The 18,955-nt window shown below is 50.6% G+C and overlaps 1 protein-coding gene across 9 annotated transcripts in view; it reads left to right on the top strand.

Moving 5' to 3' along the window:
- ZER1 (zyg-11 related cell cycle regulator) overlaps positions 1 to 18,955 on the top strand; it is a 42,701-nt gene that overhangs the window by 2,438 nt on the left and 21,308 nt on the right. For all 9 annotated transcript variants that reach the window (XM_017014188.2, NM_001375956.1, NM_001375958.1 and 6 more), the window contains exons 2-7: positions 14,390 to 14,641; positions 16,090 to 16,240; positions 16,449 to 16,885; positions 17,200 to 17,376; positions 18,522 to 18,636; positions 18,781 to 18,927. In XM_017014188.2, coding sequence (XP_016869677.1) covers positions 14,484 to 14,641; positions 16,090 to 16,240; positions 16,449 to 16,885; positions 17,200 to 17,376; positions 18,522 to 18,636; positions 18,781 to 18,927 — 1,185 coding nt within the window. In that variant the 5' untranslated portion in view covers positions 14,390 to 14,483. The remainder of the gene's footprint in view (positions 1 to 14,389; positions 14,642 to 16,089; positions 16,241 to 16,448; positions 16,886 to 17,199; positions 17,377 to 18,521; positions 18,637 to 18,780; positions 18,928 to 18,955) is intronic.

Here is an 18,955-nt window from a genome sequence, read left to right as displayed (position 1 = left end):
GACCAGAAAAAGGTGGGGAAGACATCAGGGGCTGTCCTTGTGATACAGGGTCACAGGGTGTCTAATGGGACACCCTTTCAGAACCGTACTTGTTGAAGTGTCTGGTGGTTGGAGAAAATACAGATTTGTTTTAGATGACAAATGGCCATTGTGCTTGGGGCTTCGGTTGTAAGTACCCTTCTTCCATCTTTGTAATGACCATTGATGGAACAAATACAAAGAATCATGGTCACAGAGAACTGCGATTAAATCAAGTTAAGTTATGCCGCTGCTTCCTGGTTGTGAGAAGGTGGGCACGGGACCTTTTTCCACCTCAATCTTCTCATCTGGAAAATACAGCAGGCTGGGTGTGGTGGCTCACACCTGTAATCCCAGCACTTTGGGAGGCAGGTGGATCACCTGAGGTCAGGAGTTCGAGACCAGCCTGGCCAACATGGTGAAACCCCATCTCTACTAAAAATACAAAAATTAGCCGGGTGTGGTGACGCATGCCTGTAATCTCAGCTACTGGAGAGGCTGAGGCAGGAGAATCGCTTGAACCTGGGAGGTGGAGGTTGAAGTGAGCTGAGATCATGCCACTGCAGCACTCCAGCCTGGGCGACAGGAGCGAAACTCCATCTCAAAAAAAAAAAAAGAAAGAAAGAAAAGAAAAGAAAATAGGGCTGTTGGATTAGATAAAATCATGGGCTGAAGTGCTTAATGCAGTATTTCACACAAAGTGCTCAATACATAGCGGTCACGCTGATGAGGATGATGTGATGATGAGGAATGTGGGCATGTATGTCTGCCTCAGAGCCGTTCGTTTTAGCACTAGCTGGTGGTGTCACCAGCTCTAGCTGCCTCCATCAACTAGTAGGATTTGAGGAAATATTGGGGAAAGCAAGACAGAAACTTCTTGACACCCCTCAGAGGTAACTGGGTTAATATTCTGCAGAGAAGACGTTAGCTTGGTCCTGGCTTTTCTGACAGCAGCGGAGGGTGATGGGGACTTTTAAAAAAGAGCCCAGCACTGCCAGCGCTTTGGGAGGATCGCTTGAGGCCAGGAGTTTGAGACCAGTCTGGAGAACATAGGGAAACCCTATCTCTAAAAAAAAAAGAATTAAAATGAGCCCAGCAAATTTCCATTCTACCACGTAAAATAGGCAAAATGAGGGTGTTGAAATGAATGTGACTTGGAGACAGGTGGGGAGGGGCAGTGTATGCTGGGCCTAGATATGTGGTTGGAGTGTGCGTGGCTGATCTACGGGTAGAGGCTGGTGATCCGGAAGTGCCCGGCAGAGGCTGAGACTTTCCAGCCTGCTTTATAGGAAGCAGAACCACAGTTGATCTCCCTCCTTATACCCCAAGCCCGGACTATATCCTCAGGCCTGGGACACAGGCTGAGCAGGGCAACTGGGCCAGAGAATTTGAAAATGAAAGGTCAGAGCACTTAGGAGCTGAGAGCCAGCATGTTGGGGTAGGCTGTTGTGGGTAGAACCCCAGGCTGGTGACCTGCGGACCTGGTTCAAATCCCGGCTCTGCTGTTGGCTTGCTGTGTGAGTTAGGCAGGTTCCATCTCCTCTCTGGGCCTCAGTTTTCCTATTTGTAGATTAAGAATAATGGCCTTCCCTTGCCTCCGACTAACTCTAAAGGCTGTTGGGAGGATGAAATGAGACACAGCTTGTGAAAGAATTAGGTGTGTTCTGAAGCTCTCTACAAAGGTATTATCATTAGTACCACTAGGATTATGCAGACACGTTTTGGGGGCCCACTAGCTGGAAGACTGCTCTTGGCACTCTGGTTTTTTTGCTTGGCTTCAGTACCTCATCTGTTCTGGAGTCCTGAGAGGTGAGTGCAGAGACCCCTGTCTGGTTATCTATTTGTGGACCACTGTCTTATATCTGGCGCAATCGCTGAAACTGATTTTCCAGCTTCAGAGATGCAGAAGGGTCTCTTGAAGCATTATTCTCAGGAACATCACTCTTCATAATTATTGGTTACCACCTTCCTGCCATCCTTTCATGGCATCTCCTCAGCAACCCTGTTCACAACACGCGCAACACAGCGTGTGCCACTCGCAACATGCTGACAGGTAAGGACCTTGATAAATATTGAGGCTGGAAAACATTGGCTGGGGATCTTGTGGAGCCGAGGCCCTGTCACTGGCATTGAGCCACTCACATACTCTGTAATGGAGACCCCAGAAATCACATAGGGTCCCTGCCCTCAGGAAGCTTTCAATGCTGTGGCCAAAAAATGACATGCCACGGAGTGGTTACCAGCAGTACTGGATCATGTGAGCTCAGTGCCTGAGTTGTAAGGAAGCGGCGGAGGCTCGTGGAACAGAAGGGAAAGCTGAGGTTGGAGAAATGGTCCCTCCCCATAGCATAATGGCAAGGGGCTCGAACTTTAGGGTCACACACTTACCGGAGGAACAACTCATTGCTCATCTTTCAACCATTGTTTCCTTATCTGGGAAACAAAATGATAATGTATTATCATATTGATAAAATGTTATCTGTGGCAGCTGGGTGCGGTGGCTCACACCTGTAATCCAGCACTTTGGGAGGCTGAGGTGGGCGTATTGCTTGAGCCCAGGAGTTTGAGACAAGCCTGGGCAACATGGTGAGCCCTCATCGCTACAAAAAATAAAAAAATTAGCCAGGTCTGTTGGTATACGTCTGTAGTCACAGCTACTCCAGAGGCTGAGGTGGGAGATTGCTTGAACGTGAGAGGTGGAGGTTGCAGCGAGCTGAGATCGTACCACTGCACTCCAGCCTGGGTGACAGAGTGAGACCCTGTCTCTTAAAAGAAAAATAAATAAATAGGCCGACCGCAGTGGCTCACACCTGTAATCCCAGCACTTTGGGAGGCCGAGGCAGGTGGATCACCTGAGGTCAGGAGTTCGAGACCAGCCTGGCCAACATGGCAAAACCCTGTCTCTACTAAAAATACAAAAATTAGCCTGGCATGGTGGCGGGCACCTGTAATCCCAGCTACTTGGTTGGCTGAGGCAGGAGAATTGCCTGAACCCAGGAGGCAGAGGCTGCAGTGAGCCGAGATTGTGCCATTGCACTCCAGCTTGGGCAACAAGAGCAAAATTCCATCTCAAAAAAAAAAAGAAAGAAAAATAAATAAATAAATAAATAAGTTATCTGTGACTTTGATGCGAACTGCTTGGAAAGCTGGACACACTGGGTCTTTTTTTTTTTTTTTTTTTTTTTGAGACGGAATCTTGCTCTGTCACCCAGGCAGGAGTGCAGTGGTGCAATCTCGGCTCACTGCAACCTCTGCCTCCTAGGTTCAAGCGATTCTCCTGCTTCAGCCTCCTAAGTAGCTGGGATTACAGGCATCCGCCACCATGCCTGGCTAATTTTTGTATTTTTAATAGAGATGGAGTTTCACCATGTTGGCCAGGCTGGGCTCGAACTCCTGACCTCAGGTGATCCACCTGCCTTGGCCTCCCAAAGTGCTGGGATTACAGGCGTAGGCCACTGTGCCCAGCCTGACACACTGCGTCTTGAACTAATGAACTACCTGTGTACATATCTGTCTGTTCAGATCCATAGTCTCTGGCAAATTGCATAGCCATAGCCCCTTCCTTCCAGCTGCCTTTTCTGTAAGTTGTAGATGGTAACTCCTGCCTTGTTGGGTGTTGAGAGAATTCAATTAATTAACACATATAAAATACTTAACAGAGTTCTTTTTTTTTTTTTTTTTTTGAGATGGAATCTTGCTCTGTTGCCAGGCTGGAGTACAGTGGTGCAATCTTGGCTCACTGGAACCTCCACCTCCCGGGTTCAAGCAATTCTCCTGTCTCAGCCTCCTGAGTAGCTGGGACTATAGGCGCCCGCCACCACGCCCTGCTAATTTTTGTATTTTTAGTAGAGACAGGGTTTCACCATGTTGGCCAGGATGGTCTCAATCTCTTCACCTCGTGATCCGCCCGCCTTGGCCTCCCAAAGTGCTGGGATTAGAGGCGTGAGCCTCCACGCCCAGCCAGAATTCTTGGTATATACTTGGTATTCAGTATGGGTAGGATCATTAATACATTTGGTTACAAGAATAGAACCCAACCAGTCTGATTACTAGCCGAATGCAGCCTCCTCAAGGCCTCTCTGTCTCCAGCATCATGAGCAGCCACCTAGCTGTGAGGCACACTCCCCAATTATTGTGTGTCTGCATCTTTCTGACATAACCCAACTCATAGATTTAATCTCTGCAGACTTTTCAGAGCCAGGTGGCGTCTGGTTTTCACCTGTTTCCCGACCACCTGGAGATCCCCACACTTGCTGTGACTCCCCTCACACCCCCAGTCTCTGGCCCTTGATCTGCTGCCTCCTGGAAAGCGTCTAGCCTCTGTAAATAGGGCATTTGTTTGGGTTTTCCCCCCAGCTCCTAGGTTAATATTTCACAGGGTGAGTACTGCTCCAAGGCTCAGAGCTTCTGGCTCCCCCAACCTCTCTGTCCTCTGGGTATCAGGACACTGGTGGGATCCCATGCTCCCACCTCCAGACTTCAGTTTCTCTTTCCCTCCCATTGTTTGGATGGATGGACTGAAGACCAAATATTTGGTGAGAAGCGGGGGTCTGCTTTAGGTTTGCATCCCACTCTCATCAGTTTTGTGATCTCAGGCAAGCTTCTGCTTAGTTGTGTATGCGTCAGTATCTTCATCAGAAAATGGGGTAATAATCTCTATCTTGCAGTACTAGAGTAAGGGAATTCCAGCCACAGCAAACCTTTGTTCTATTAAACACCAGGCATAAATTGGGCACCGAAGTCAGACACCAAGGATACAGGTGCGTGCGCGCTTGCGCACGTGTGTGTGTGTGTGTGTGTGTGTGTGTGTGTGTGTGTACATGTGCATGGATGCAGGCATGCAAGCAAGCATACAGCTTCTGTCCTCCCAGAGCTCACAGGCAGTAGGAGGGTGTCAGTTGACAAATTGTTATGTAAATGATTAATTAGTTGCAAGTACAGGGTACTAGGAAATATTTTGTCGGTTGAGTAAGAGACTCGAGGGAGTAAAGCCTGTAAGGAGCTTAGGACCACATCTGGAAGCAGCCAACATGGACGTGGTATGGCGGTGCCTTCTGCTGCTGCTGCTGCTGGTGCTGTTTTTCTCTCTCTTCTCTCCCACTTCCTTCATTCCCCAGGATGTCGAATGTTCATGATAGACCTAGTATTAGAGAACATGCAAGAAAAGGGATGGAGAAAGACACAGGGTTCTCCCAGTGTGGTGGTCGGTCATAACCAGAGCTCCCTCTGTCCTCAGTTGCTGGAATTCCAGATGGCCTGTGACTGCCCTGAGAATGACAATCCCTAAGGAATGGAGTAGGTAGAGTGGAGTAGGTAGAGATGGCTGCCTCTGGCAGGTGCCAGGCCCGCAGCTGGATGGGTCTCAGGGCATGGTAGCCCCGGGGCCCTTCAGTCTCTGTGCCAGGATGTAAGATGGCTGCTTCCTCTTCCAGCTCATTCCAGCCCTGAGTGGCAAGGTCAACACTGCTAAGGGGAGGCTAGCAGATGGCGCCATCTACCTGGCTTATGTTTTGGGGGCTTTTGGTGACCGTGACAACTGACGTGGTGGTGTTTCTTCCACTTGGGGAGCATGGTAAGGGCAGAGCAGCTGCCTAGGTAACTGGGCTCAGACCTGCAGAAAAGGCAAAACCCCAGTGGCTCTCCCTCATTCAGAGCCTCCGAGCCAAGAGGCATCATTTGCAGCCACTGGGCGCCCAGCAGTGTCCTGAGTGCAGCAAGCAGGGAGAATGCGAGAGTGTACTATACCTCCCAGGCCTCGTGCAGACCTCTGATGGCGAGTACTTTGTCATTCCTTCCACAGGCCTTTGTTGAAACCTCACCTTGTGGCAGGCCCCACATTGAGTGTTCAGTGCTTCCTTTGTTCATTTAGCAAATAGTCATGGACCTGGGCCCGTAGTGCCAACGTCCCATGCACCCCCTCTCCTTGCAGCTTAGGTACTTCTTTGCTTCCTCCCAAAGCGCCTTCCCCTTCTCTCCCCTCCACCAGAGTTAACTAGGACTTATCTTTTGGGTCCCAGCTGAAATGTCACTTCTTTTTTTTTTTTTGATGGAGTTTTGCTCTTATTGCCCAGGCTAGAGTGCAATGGTGTGATCTTGGCTCACTGCAACCTCCGCCTCCCGGGTTCAAGCAATTCTCCTGCCTCAGCCTCCCGAGTAGCTGGGATTACAGGCGTGCGCCACCAGCCCAGCTTATTTTTGTATTTTTAGTAGAGACGGAGTTTCACCATGTTGGCCAGGCTGGTCTCGAACTCCTGACCTCAGGTGATCCACCTACCTCAGTCTCCCAAAGTTTTGGGATTACAGGTGTGAGCCACTGCACCTGGCCTGAAATGTCACTTCTAAGGATACCTGCTCTGACTCCCCAGTCCAGGGCAAGTCCCCTGATTGGGCATCCAGAGCCCCAGGCCCCTTCTCCTGCAAGACACTGGTCCCAGTTACGCGACAGGCGCTTATGGGCCCTGTAGGTGGATCTGTCTCCCTCCGGAGCCAGTACGCTCCATGTGGTCAAGGACCTTGTCCGGCTCGCTCACCAAGGACCCCCAGTGCTCAGCAGGGACTGAGTGAGCAGGTCCAGGGAGGTGATACCAAACAAGACAGCCTGGTTTTGCCCTCATGGACCTGGCCATCCATCAAGGATGCTGAATCATCAAAGCCACATCGTACCAAGTGTTCATTGCTGTGGTAGATCGGGCCTGTGGGGGGACTCAGCAGGCACACCCTGGTGGGTTAAGCATGGCTTCCCAGAGGAAGTAACTTTGACACTGGGACCATAGGTATCAGCTACGTGAAAGGAGAGTTCAAAGATCATGTGGGCTGGAGTGGCCAGGAGATACTTCCTGGAGGAAGGACATGGAGTGTATTTGGGTAGGGGAGGGGAGAAGGCAGTATTTAAATTAGAAAGTGCAGTAATTAGTTGAATTTGGATGGTCCTGGTTGAAAGAGAACAGACTGGGCAAAGGTCTGAAGGTGACCTGTGCCGAGGGCCTTTTGCCAGGACAGTGAATGATGAGGCCAGGCTGGCTGGAGTAGGGGGGCAGTGGGGACCAAGTAGGCCAGAAAGCTGGCTGTAATTCCGGTGGGCTTGAAAAGAGTTGCTTTCCAAGAGTGGGGACTCTCTGCCAGCAGTGCTCCCTCTGGTTCCAGTTTCCCAGGCAAGAGAGGCTGCTGGGCTCTTAAAGATCTTGAAGCAAATGAAGGCAAAGGAAGGCCATGCCCGGGGCCCAGGCATCCTGGCTTTTGTGCCTTCCCTCGAGGGTGCCATGCTGCCAGTGGGACAGCTGACACAATGAGCCTTGTTGTGGGAGACCCAGGCCGGGGAGCACAGGCCCGGAGCTGGGAGCCAGGGCAGATGAGGTAGGAGAAGGTAATGATTATAACAACAACATAATAACGGTTGTCTTTATTGAGCAATGACTACATGCCAGACACCGTTCTAAGCCCTTTTGATATTATTCCATGGAATCTTCACACCGTGCTGGGGATGAGGTATTGTGCTGCTTCTATTTTAGAGGAAAAGTGACTGAGGCACAGAGAGGTGGAGACACTTGCCCAAGTTTGTCTCCTCGTGAGCAGCAAGGCTGAAATGTGAGCTATGCCTGCCTGAATCCACAGCCCATCCACACACAGTCCCCAGTAGACAGTGGTGCCACAGTTGAACTCAGAACTGGCTGATTCCAAAGCCCAGTGTGCCCTGTGGCTTCCCGCTGGATTTCCTGAGCAGTCTGGAAGGTTTACAAATGGGCACAGAGGGAGGCTCCCAGAAGCTGGGACAATGCTGGGCCCCAGAACTCCAGAACCCTCTAAGTCAGGGGTGTCCAATCTTTTAGCTTCCCTGGGCCACACTGGAAAAGGAACTGTCTTGGGCGACACGTAAAATACACCAACACTAACAACAGCAGATGAGCTAAAAAAAAAAAAAAGTCCATAAATGTCATAATGTTTTAAGAAAGTTTACAAATTTGTGTTGGGCTGCATTCAAAGCTGTCCTGGGCCACATGCAGCCCATGGACCACAGGTTGGACAAGCTTGCTCTAAGAGATGTGAGGGATTCCACGAGACCAGGTTCCAGTCTAGTTTACACAGCTCCCTCTGTTTGACCTTGAGTTTCCTCCTCTATAAGATGGGGTCAGCCGGGCGCGGTGGCTCACGCCTGTAATCCCAACATTTTGGGAGGCTGAGGCGGGCGGATCACAAGGTCAGGAGTTCGAGACCATCCTGGCTAACATGGTGAAACCCCATCTCTACTAAAAATACAAAAAATTAGCCGAGCGTGGTCGCAGGCGCCTGTAGTCCCAGCTACTTGGGAGGCTGAGGCAAGAGAATGGCATGAACCCAGGAGGCGGAGCTTGCAGTGAGCCGAGATCGTACCACTGTATTCCAGCCTGGGTGACAGAGTGAGACTCTGTCTCAAAAAAAAAAAAAAAAAAACAAATTATGGGGTCATAGGGCTGGACATGGTGGCTCATGACTGTAGTTCCACCATTTTGGGAGGCGAGGCGGGTGGATCACCTGAGCTCAGGAGTTCGAGACCAGCCTGGCTAACATAGCAAAACCCCGTCTCTACTAAAAATACAAAAATTAGCCGGGTGTAGGGGCAGGTGCCTGTAGTCCCAGGTACTCAGGAAGCTGAGGCAGGAGAATAACTTGAACCTGGAAAGCAGAGGTTGCAGTGAGCTGAGATGGTGCCGCTGCACTCCAGCCTGGGTGACAGAGCAAGACTCTGAAAAAAGAAAAAAAAGGTGGGGTCATAACCACCATGTTGTGTACTTAGTCTGTTGGGCTGGGACTAAGCATTTCTTCAACATTATCTCATTTAGTACCACAGCCCTGTGAAGTAGAGATTATTATCCCCCCCTCCCTTTTTTTTTTTTTTTGAGACAGAGTCTGGCTCTGTCGCCCAGGCTGGAGTGCAGTGGCGCGATCTCGGCTCACTGCAAGCTCCGCCTCCCGGGTTCACACCATTCTTCTACCTCAGCCTCCCGAGTAGCTGGGACTATAGGTGCCCACCACCACGCCCAGCTAATTTTTTGTATTTTTAGTAGAGACAGGTTTCACTGTGTTAGCCAGGATGGTCTTGATCTCCTGACCTCATGATTCGCCTGCCTCGGCCTCCCAAAGTGCTGGGATTACAGGCGTGAGCCACCGCGCCTGGCCTATTATCCCCATTTTTCAGATGAGGAAACTGAGGTCTGGAGAGGTTAAGTAACTTTTTTTTTTTTTAAACGGAGTCTCGCTGTGTCGCCAGGCTGGAGTGCAGTGTCACCAGGCTGGAGTGCAGTGGCGCAATCTTGGCTCGCTGCAACCTCCGCCTCCCAGGTTCAAGTGATTCTCCTCCCTCAGCCTCTTGAGTAGCTGGGATTACAGGTGTGCACCACAACACCCAGCTTTTTTTTTTGTATTTTGGTAGAGACGGGGTTTCACTATGTTGGCCTCAATGGAGAGGTTAAGTAATTTTACAGTGAATTGTATAACTGGGTCAAAACATAGATCTGTCTGACCACAGAGCCTGCACTTAAAAGAAAACTTTTGGGGCTGGGTGCGGTGGCTCACGCCTGTAATCCCAGCACTTTGGGAGGCCGAGGCAGGCGGATCACAAGGTCAGGAGATTGAGACCATCCTGGCTAACACGGTTAAACCCCATCTCTACCAAAAATACAAAATATTAGCCGGGCGTGGTGGCACACGCCTGTAGTCTCAGCTACTCGGGAGGCTGGGGCAGGAGAATCGCTTGAACCTGGGAGGCAGAGGTTGCAGTGAGCTGAGATTGCCCCACTGCACTCCAGCCTGGGTGACAGAACAAGACTCCGTCTCAAAAAAATAAAAAACTTTTATGAAGTATAACATACATGAGAGACCAGGCACAGTGGCTCACGCCTGCAATCCCAGCATTTTGGAAGGCCAAGATGGGAGGATCGCTTGAGCCCAGGAGTTCGAGACCAACCTGGGCAACACAGAAAGACCCTGTCTTTACTAAAAATTAAAAAATTTACTGGGCGTGGTGGCACATGCCTGTGGTCCCAGCTACTCAACAGGCTGAGGTGGGAGGATCGCTTGAGCCCAGGAGGTCAAGGCTGCGGTGAGCCGTGATCATACCACCACACTCCAGCCTGGGCAACAGTATGAGACTCTGTCTCAGAAAAAAACAACCAACCAAACAAACAAACAAAAAAATACATACATAAGGAAAGATGCACAAAATATGAGTATAGAGTCTGATTAATTTTTTTCTTTTTTTTTGAGACGGAGTCTCGCTCTGTTGCCCAGACTGGAGTGCAGTGGTGCCATCTTGGGTCACTGCAAGCTCCGCCTCCTGGGTTCACGCCATTCTCCTGCCTCAGCCTCCCAAGTAGCTGGGACTACAGGTGCGTGCCACCACGCCCGGCTAATTTTTTCTATTTTTAGTAGAGACAAGGTTTTACTGTGTTAGCCAGGATGGTCTCAATCTCCTGACCTCATGATCCACCTGCCTTGGCCTCCCAAAGTGCTGGGATTACAGGCGTGAGCCACCATGCCCAGCCGCCATTTTCTTAACTTTCTATTCAATTACAATATTCGGGCCAGGCACGGTGGCTCACATCTGTAATCCCAGCACTTTGGGAGGCAGAGATGGGCGGATCACCTGAGGTAAGGAGTTCGAGACCAGCCTGAGCAACATGATGAAACCCCATCTCTACCAAAAAAAAAAAAAAAAAAATTAGCTGGGTGTGGTGGCAGGCACCTGTAATCCCAGTTACTCCAGAGGCTGAGGCAGGAGAACCGCTTGAACCTGAGAGGCGGAGGTTGCAGTGAGCTGAGATCGTGCCACTGCACCCCAGCCTAGATGACAGGGTTAGACTCCGTCTCAAAAGAAAAAAAAAAACAATATTCACTGGCTGGGCGCGGTGGCCCATGCCTGTAATCCCAGCTACTCGGGAGGCTGAGGCAGGAGAATGACTTGAACCCGGGAGGTGGAGGTTGCAGTGAGCCGAGATCGCGCCACTGCACTCCAGCCTGGTGACAGAGCAAGACTCAGTCTAAAAAAAAAAAAAAAAATTCACTTGAAAAAGTACACACATCATGATACACAGGTCGGTGAAGATTCACACAGTAAGCGAGCCTGGATACCCAGTACTCTGATCAAGGAGACTAGAAGCTCCTCAGCACCCAGAAACTCCCTTCCAATCACCTCCCCGGGTAACCACAGTCCTCACTTCTCCCACCACAGATGAGATTCCCCTGATTTTGAACTTAGTGGAGTGACACAGTGTAGATCCTTTTGTGTCTGACTCCTCTCATTAAATGCAGTAAGGGTTGGCCAGGTGCAGCGGCTCATGCCTGTAATCCCAGCACTTTGGGAGGCGGGGGTAAGCAGATTGCTTGAGCACAAGAGTTTGAGACCAGCCTGAATAACATAGCAAGATCTTGTCTCTACAAAACAAAAAACAAAAAACAAAGAAACCAGAAAGATTAGCCGGGTGTGGTGATGCATGCCTGTAGTCTCAGGTACTCAGGAGGCTAAGGTGGGAGGATCGCTTGAGCCTGGGAAATAGAGGGTGCAGTGAGCCAAGATCACACCACTGCACTCCAGCCCAGGTAATGAGATTCTATCTCAAAAATTAAAAATTAAGGCCAGGCACAGTGGCTCACACCTGTAATCCCAGCACTTTGGGAGGCCAAGGCGAGCAGATCACCTGAGGTCAGGAGTTCGAGACCAGCCTGGCCAACATGGATAACCCTGTCTCTACTAAAAGAAAAAAATACAAAAATTAGCCCGGCGTGATGGCGCACGCTTGTAATCCCAGGTATTCGGGAGGCTGAGGCAGGAGAATCACTTGAACCCAGGAGGCGGAGGTTGCAGTGAGCCAAGATCATGCCACTGCACTCCAGCCTGAGCAACAGAGCAAGACTCTATCTCAAAAAAAAAAAAAAAACCTAAACTAAAAATTAAAAAAAAAAAACATTGTAAGCCTTATCCAAGCTGTTAACAGGAGTTTGTGCCTTCTCATTGCCATGCAGTATTTAGTAGATGAATATACCATAATTATCCATTCCAATGCCAGTGGACATGTAGGTTCTTTTCTGGTTTTGGCCATTACAAATAGTGCTGCTGTGAACATTCTAGTGTAGATCTTTTGGTGCACATTTACTTATGCATTTCTGTTGGGTATATACCTAGGAGTCAAGTTGCTAAGTGTTGAACGTATGTACGTTCAGCTTTAGTAAATAGTGAATAGTGTTAAACACTGTTCCCATTGTATTCCCAGTTCACACCAATTTGCCCTGCCGCCAGCCCTGTGGGAGATTTCCCACTGTTCCCCGTCTTCCCCAATGCCAGGTATTGCCCATGTTGTTGTTGCTGCAGTTGCGTTCAGTTGAGCCAGTGGGCGTGTGGAAAATGGCATCTCATTGTGGCTTTACTGTGCACTTCCCTAATAGTAAAGAAGCTGAGTGCTTTTCACATGTTTGTTGTCTGTTTCACTATCTTCCTTCATGAAATGCCTGTTCAAATCTTTCACTCTTTTTTTTTTTTTGAGACAGGGTCTGGCTTTGTTGCCCAGGCTAGAGCGCGGTGGTGCAATCACAGCTCACTGCAGCCTCAACCTCTTGGGCTCAGGTGATCCTCCCACCTCAGCCTCCCAAGTAGCTGGGACTACAGGCACATGGCACCGTGCCCAGCTAATTTTTTTTGTATTTTTTGTAGAGACAGGGTTTCGCCATGTTGCCCAGGCTGGTCTTGAACTCCTGGGCTCAAGCAATTTGCCCACCTCTGGCTCCCAAAGTGCTGGGATTACAGGCTTGAGCCACTGCACCCAGGCTCTGTGTGGTAACTTTTGATGAACAGAGTTTTTAATTTTGAGGCAGTCCAATTTATCAGTTTTTTTCTCTTCATGTGAAATCATTGCCTAAAGTCATAAAGATATACTCCTGTGTTTTCTTCTAGAAACCTTATTGTTTTAACTTTCACATTTATATCTATCATCTATCTCAAATTAATTTTTGTGTATGCATGAACAGAAGTTTCTTTGCTTTGGTGTAGATAAGTTTATGATTTTCTACCTCCTGGTTAGCACCTCTTGAGTCCTAGTTAGGAAATCTTTAGCTGTGCTAAAGTCATGAAGCTAGTAGGAGACTTCACTTTTTTAAATAACAGTTTTACTGAGATATATATAATTCACATGTCACACAATTCATCCATATAAAGTATATAATTCCATGATTTTTAGTATATTCATAGAGTGCACCCATGACCACTGTCAATTTTAGACCATTTTCATCACCCCAAAAAGAAACTCCATACACACTGGCAGTTACTCTCCTTTTTCCCAACCACAAACCTACTTCTGTCTCTATAGATTTGCCTATCGTCACTGGACATTTCTATCAGAGGAATCATACGGTATATGACTTTTTTTTTAAACTGATTTCTTTCACTCAACATAATGTTTTCAAGGTCCAACATTATAGCATGGATCACTACTTTTTATGACTGAATAATATTCCACTGTATGAATATGTAACATTTTGTTGATCCGTTCACCAGTTGAAGGACATTTGGGTTGTTTCCACTTTTTGGCTCTTACAAATAATGTTGCTATGAATGGTCACATCTGAGTTTCTTTTTTTGAGATGGAGTCTCACTCTGTCGCCCAGGCTGGAGTGCAGTGGCAGGGTGTCGGCTCACCGCACTCCGCCATTCTCCTGCCTCAGCCTCCCGAGTAGCTGGGACTACAGGCGCCCGCCACCACGCCCGGCTAATTTCTGTATTTTTAGTAGAGACAGGGTTTCACCGTGTTAGCCAGGATGGTCTCCATCTCCTGACCTTGTGATCCGCCCACCTCGGCCTCTCAAAGTTCTGGGATTACAGGCATGAGCCACCGTGCTCGGCCACGTCTGAGTTTCTATGTGGACATATGTTTTCATTGCTCTTGTAAGGAGCCTTCATTTTTAATCAGACACCATGAGATTCAGTGATATCATGTCTATATGTCTATTAAGCCCTGGCACAGCCTAAGTGCTCAATCAATCATAGCTGTATACAGGTTAGGAAGTACTGCACAGCATGGAACACCCCAGTGTAGCTCTTCAGACTGTGGGAAGCTGAAGAGTGAAAATCTGTATTATCCCCACCCAAGCACTGGGTCCCCAGCACACACGTCTGCTCACAGGCAAATAAGTGCTTGGACAAGGCTCCATGTTCTTTGCAGGTCAAATTGTGCATAGATAGTGGCACAGCAGAGGCGGGTGAAAGAAGGAGTCAGGAGACCTGGGCCTGGCCCTGCTAAGCTGCTAATTGGAGTGTGGTCTCAGTTTCCCTACTCAGAGCGTGGACATGGGACCACTGATAGTTCTAGCCCTTGTGTGTGGCTCACTTGGCATCTTGTCCACTCCCCAGGCAGTGGCTCTGCCAATGATCCTGTGAGTATTCAGGAATCACTGTTGCCCCTGGGGATCCTTGTCCTGGAGTGGCCCACCTGCTTGCCCCCAGCATGGCGTCCGACACTCCCGAGTCGCTGATGGCCCTCTGTACTGACTTCTGCTTGCGCAACCTGGATGGCACCCTGGGCTACCTGCTGGACAAGGAGACCCTGCGGCTACATCCGGACATCTTCTTGCCCAGCGAGATCTGTGACCGGCTCGTCAATGAGTGAGCAGACCCAGGGCTGAGGAGGGGCAGGGGTCTTACCATGAATGTGTATAGAGAGATTGGGACCGTGTGTGCACTATGTGGGGAGTAGCTATGGAGATGAATGTGTGAGGGTGTGTGTGTGTGCACATGGATGTTCATGGCTGCAAGAGAATAGTGGTGTATCCATAACCGTAAAGGTGTATATGTGTGTGTGTTGGTGTGTGTGTGGAGGGGTGTGCACGTGAAGGCATGGGTGTGTGTACACATGTAAGCTTATGCAGCACAGGTTATTTCTGACTGTGAAACTGCATGTGTGCATTTAGAGATGTGATTGTGTCAAAATCTGCATATAAATGAAGGAATTAAGTGTTGCCCCACACGTGTATGTACATTCACATGCACATACCTGTGCTTGTGAATTCAGTGAGCATGGCCACATATGCATGTACATGCCGGTGCCAGAATAACGGATCCATGATCAGGGAGTGAATCATCCAGAAAATCTGAATGGCCCTCCGAGGGCCTCCCCACTCCTAGGGGCTCCTAGAAGCATGCTATGCAGTCACTGAATGCTGGGAGTTCAATCTACAGGCCCAGATGGTGGCCAGGCATGGTGGCTCACACGTGTAATTCCAGCATTTTGGGAAGCCAAGACAGGAGGATCACTTGAGACCAGAAATTCAAGATCAGCCTGGGTGACATAGCGAGACCTTGTCTCTACCAAAAAAAAAAAAAGAAAAAGATTCCCAGAAGGGAAATTATTAGACAGCTGCATAGGAAACTAGAAGCCTGTGTGGGCCTGAGGACAGAGGTGGACCTGTAATAACGTCCTGAGCATTTACCGTGGGTCAGGCTTTAGGTTGGACACTTTGCAGGCCATAGTTATATCCACTTTACAGATGAAGAAACTGAGGTCTGGGAAAGTTCATTTACTTGTGTGAAGTTGCCCAGGTAGGAAGCAGCCAAGCCAAGATTTAGAGTCTAAAGCGTTTGAATCCAAAGCATTTCCCAGCAGACCAGGATTCTTGCATGAGCTGATGTCTCAACAGGGCTTCATTAAGGGCTTGTCCTGTACCCAGCTGGGAACTCTGAACTACTTGGCTTAGTTTGCCTGTTTAAAAGGGTCGCAGGAGGGGCTTAAAGAAGGTGACGAGAGTGGCCATGCCAGTGGGGCTGCTGCCCCTGCAGTGTGCGTGCGTGGAGGCTGTGTGACAGGCATGTGCACTGGGAGAGATGGCGCCTGCATCACCTAGAAGGTCTCCCAGAGAGCTGCCTTTAGATTCCTGGTTCCTGGGCACCCTTAATCTTACTGGTAGTTTAGTCAGGATCTGACCAGATACTCTTAGGAGAAGGAGGTTGCTACTTGGGGTGATCCAAGAAAGCTTCAGGGGGAGGAGGGCTTGGCTTTGAAGCGAGGATGAGAGTCCCTGTGGCCCTCTCCTGAGCCAGGCTTTTTTCTCTCCCAGGTATGTGGAGCTGGTGAACGCTGCCTGTAACTTCGAGCCACACGAGAGCTTCTTCAGCCTCTTTTCGGACCCCCGCAGCACCCGCCTCACGCGGATCCACCTCCGTGAGGACCTGGTGCAGGACCAGGACCTGGAGGCCATCCGCAAGCAGGTGAGACCTGCCCCGCCACAGCGCCAGGAGGGCCCACACCAAGCAGGGGCCAGGCTGCTCGCCTCCAGCCCAGCCATCCCCAGCCCAGCCAGTGTGCACCGTGACTGTGCACATCCCCCTTTCCAACCCACCTGTAGCCCAGGGCAAGGCCTGGGGCCGGGGGAAGGGGCAAGGGTGGTGATGATGATGGAGCTGTGCCCACTCCCAGGACCTGGTGGAGCTGTACCTGACTAACTGCGAGAAGCTGTCCGCCAAGAGCCTGCAGACACTGAGGAGCTTCAGCCACACCCTGGTGTCCTTGAGCCTCTTCGGCTGTACAAACATTTTCTATGAGGAGGAGAACCCAGGGGGCTGTGAAGATGAGTACCTCGTCAACCCCACCTGCCAGGTGCTGGTTAAGGATTTCACCTTCGAGGGCTTCAGCCGCCTCCGCTTCCTCAACTTGGGCCGCATGATTGATTGGGTCCCTGTGGAGTCCCTGCTGCGGCCGCTTAACTCCCTGGCTGCCTTGGACCTCTCAGGCATTCAGACGAGCGACGCCGCCTTCCTCACCCAGTGGAAAGACAGCCTGGTGTCCCTCGTCCTCTACAACATGGACCTGTCCGACGACCACATCCGGGTCATCGTGCAGCTGCACAAGCTGCGGTGAGCTCCTGGCCCAGAGCTCACCAGGGTGGGGTTTGGGGGGCAGGTGGGGAGGAGTAGAGGTGGGTGTTGTCACGCCCTCAGGGTTCAGGAGCGCTTGGCTAGGCAGAGGGTGGGGATGAAGACACAGTCCCATTCCTTAAACCCAGTGTTTCAGCTGGATTGGGGCTGTTTGGGGTTTCTTCCCAGAATGCCCTGGGGAAGTTGTGGCAGGAATGGGCCCTCCCCTGCTACAGACTAAAGGAGCTGGGATCTGCAAGGCAGCCCCACCCTGTACCCAGCTCCTAACCTGCACCCCCTACCCCAATCTTCAGACACCTGGACATCTCCCGAGACCGCCTCTCCAGCTACTACAAGTTCAAGCTGACTCGGGAGGTGCTGAGCCTCTTTGTGCAGAAGCTGGGGAACCTAATGTCCCTGGACATCTCTGGCCACATGATCCTAGAGAACTGCAGCATCTCCAAGATGGAAGAGGAAGCGGGGCAGACCAGGTGGGGCCCCAGCCTCCATGGCTACTGGTAGGGTGTCATTCAACAGGCATTTAGGCTGGCGCAGTGGCTCACGCCTGTAATCCCAGCACTTTGGGAAGCCAAGATGGGCGGATCACTTGAGGCCAGGAGTTAGAGACCAGCCTGGCCAACATGGTGAAACCCCATTTCTACTAAAAATACAAAATTTAGCTGGACATGGTGGCAGACACCTGTAGTCCCAGCTACTTGGGAGGCTAAGGTATGAGAATTGAAGCCGGGAGGCGGAGCCTGCAGTGAGCTGAGATCGCGCCACTGCACTCCAGCCTAGGCAACAAAGTGGGACTTTGTCTCAAAAAAAAAAAAAAAGAAAGTATTTGCCAAGTACCCCTCTGCCAAGTGCTGTGCTGGGTGCTAGAGATAAAGAAACAAATCAGGTCCTGCCCTCTTGGAGGCTGTGTGAGCTGGTGGGGACAATCAAGTCATTACAAGGGCTATGGTAGGGGCAATCCAGGGCCCCGGTGTGGCCTGAGGATCAGGAAGGAAGGAGGAGGAGGGACGCATCCTGGCTGTCCTGAAAGCTCATTCTGCCTCTGCCAGAGGAAGCGTGTTCTAGCAGAGGGAACAGCACCTGCAAAGGCCAGTAGGTGAGAGCATGAGGAGCGACAGGGGAACTACCCAACACTCAGCCTGACCAGAGCACAGTGCCATGGGGGGAAGAGGCAAGGCTGGCAGTGTCTGCCACCTATGGAGTATTGCTGGACATAGGTCGGTTCTTGGATTGGTTGGTTGAGAAGTTTGACCAAACCCTACCAGCTGTAACTGGCCACCCATAAGCCCTGGCCCCAGCCTGCTTTAATGGTGTTCAGTTGAGCTTGTCCCTTTGTGATTGTTGGTGAGACCTAAAGGTGCCATGTCCTTACTAGAATGGCAGGTGGTTTCTAAAGGTGGCTGCATTGCCCATCCTATGTGTTCCCCTACTATGTGGCTTTGCCATGCTTCCATCAGGAGGTGGTGCTTATGTCCCCTACCATTAAAAACAAAAGGAGTAGGGGATGAGGTTGGAGGGCCTAGAAGAGAAAGCAAGGAAATGCCTCACCACCCCCAGTGGGGAGGCCCAGCTCAGGCCTGGGTCCCAAGCCACTGACACCGGCACCCTCTTTCCCCAGCATTGAGCCTTCCAAGAGCAGCATCATACCTTTCCGGGCTCTGAAGAGGCCGCTGCAGTTCCTCGGGCTCTTTGAGAACTCTCTGTGCCGCCTCACGCACATTCCAGCCTACAAAGTGAGCAGTGGAAGTGGGATGGGTCTGGGCCAGGGAGCCTTGGGAGAGAGAAGGAGCTGGATTCTGGGGCTGGAGACTGAGCTGGGATCTGGCATCCCAGCCCTTGGCCTCTGCTGGGTTGTTCTGAGCGTGTCCCACCCGCAGGTAAGTGGTGACAAAAACGAAGAGCAGGTGCTGAATGCCATCGAGGCCTACACGGAGCACCGGCCTGAGATCACCTCGCGGGCCATCAACTTGCTTTTTGACATCGCCCGCATCGAGCGTTGCAACCAGCTGCTGCGGGCCCTGAAGGTCAGCTCCAAGCCTGGGGCCTTGGCCT

Source organism: Homo sapiens, chromosome 9 (assembly GCF_000001405.40).
Source record: "Homo sapiens chromosome 9, GRCh38.p14 Primary Assembly".
Taxonomy (NCBI): domain Eukaryota; kingdom Metazoa; phylum Chordata; class Mammalia; order Primates; family Hominidae; genus Homo; species Homo sapiens.
This window is presented reverse-complemented; position numbering and strand designations above follow the sequence as displayed.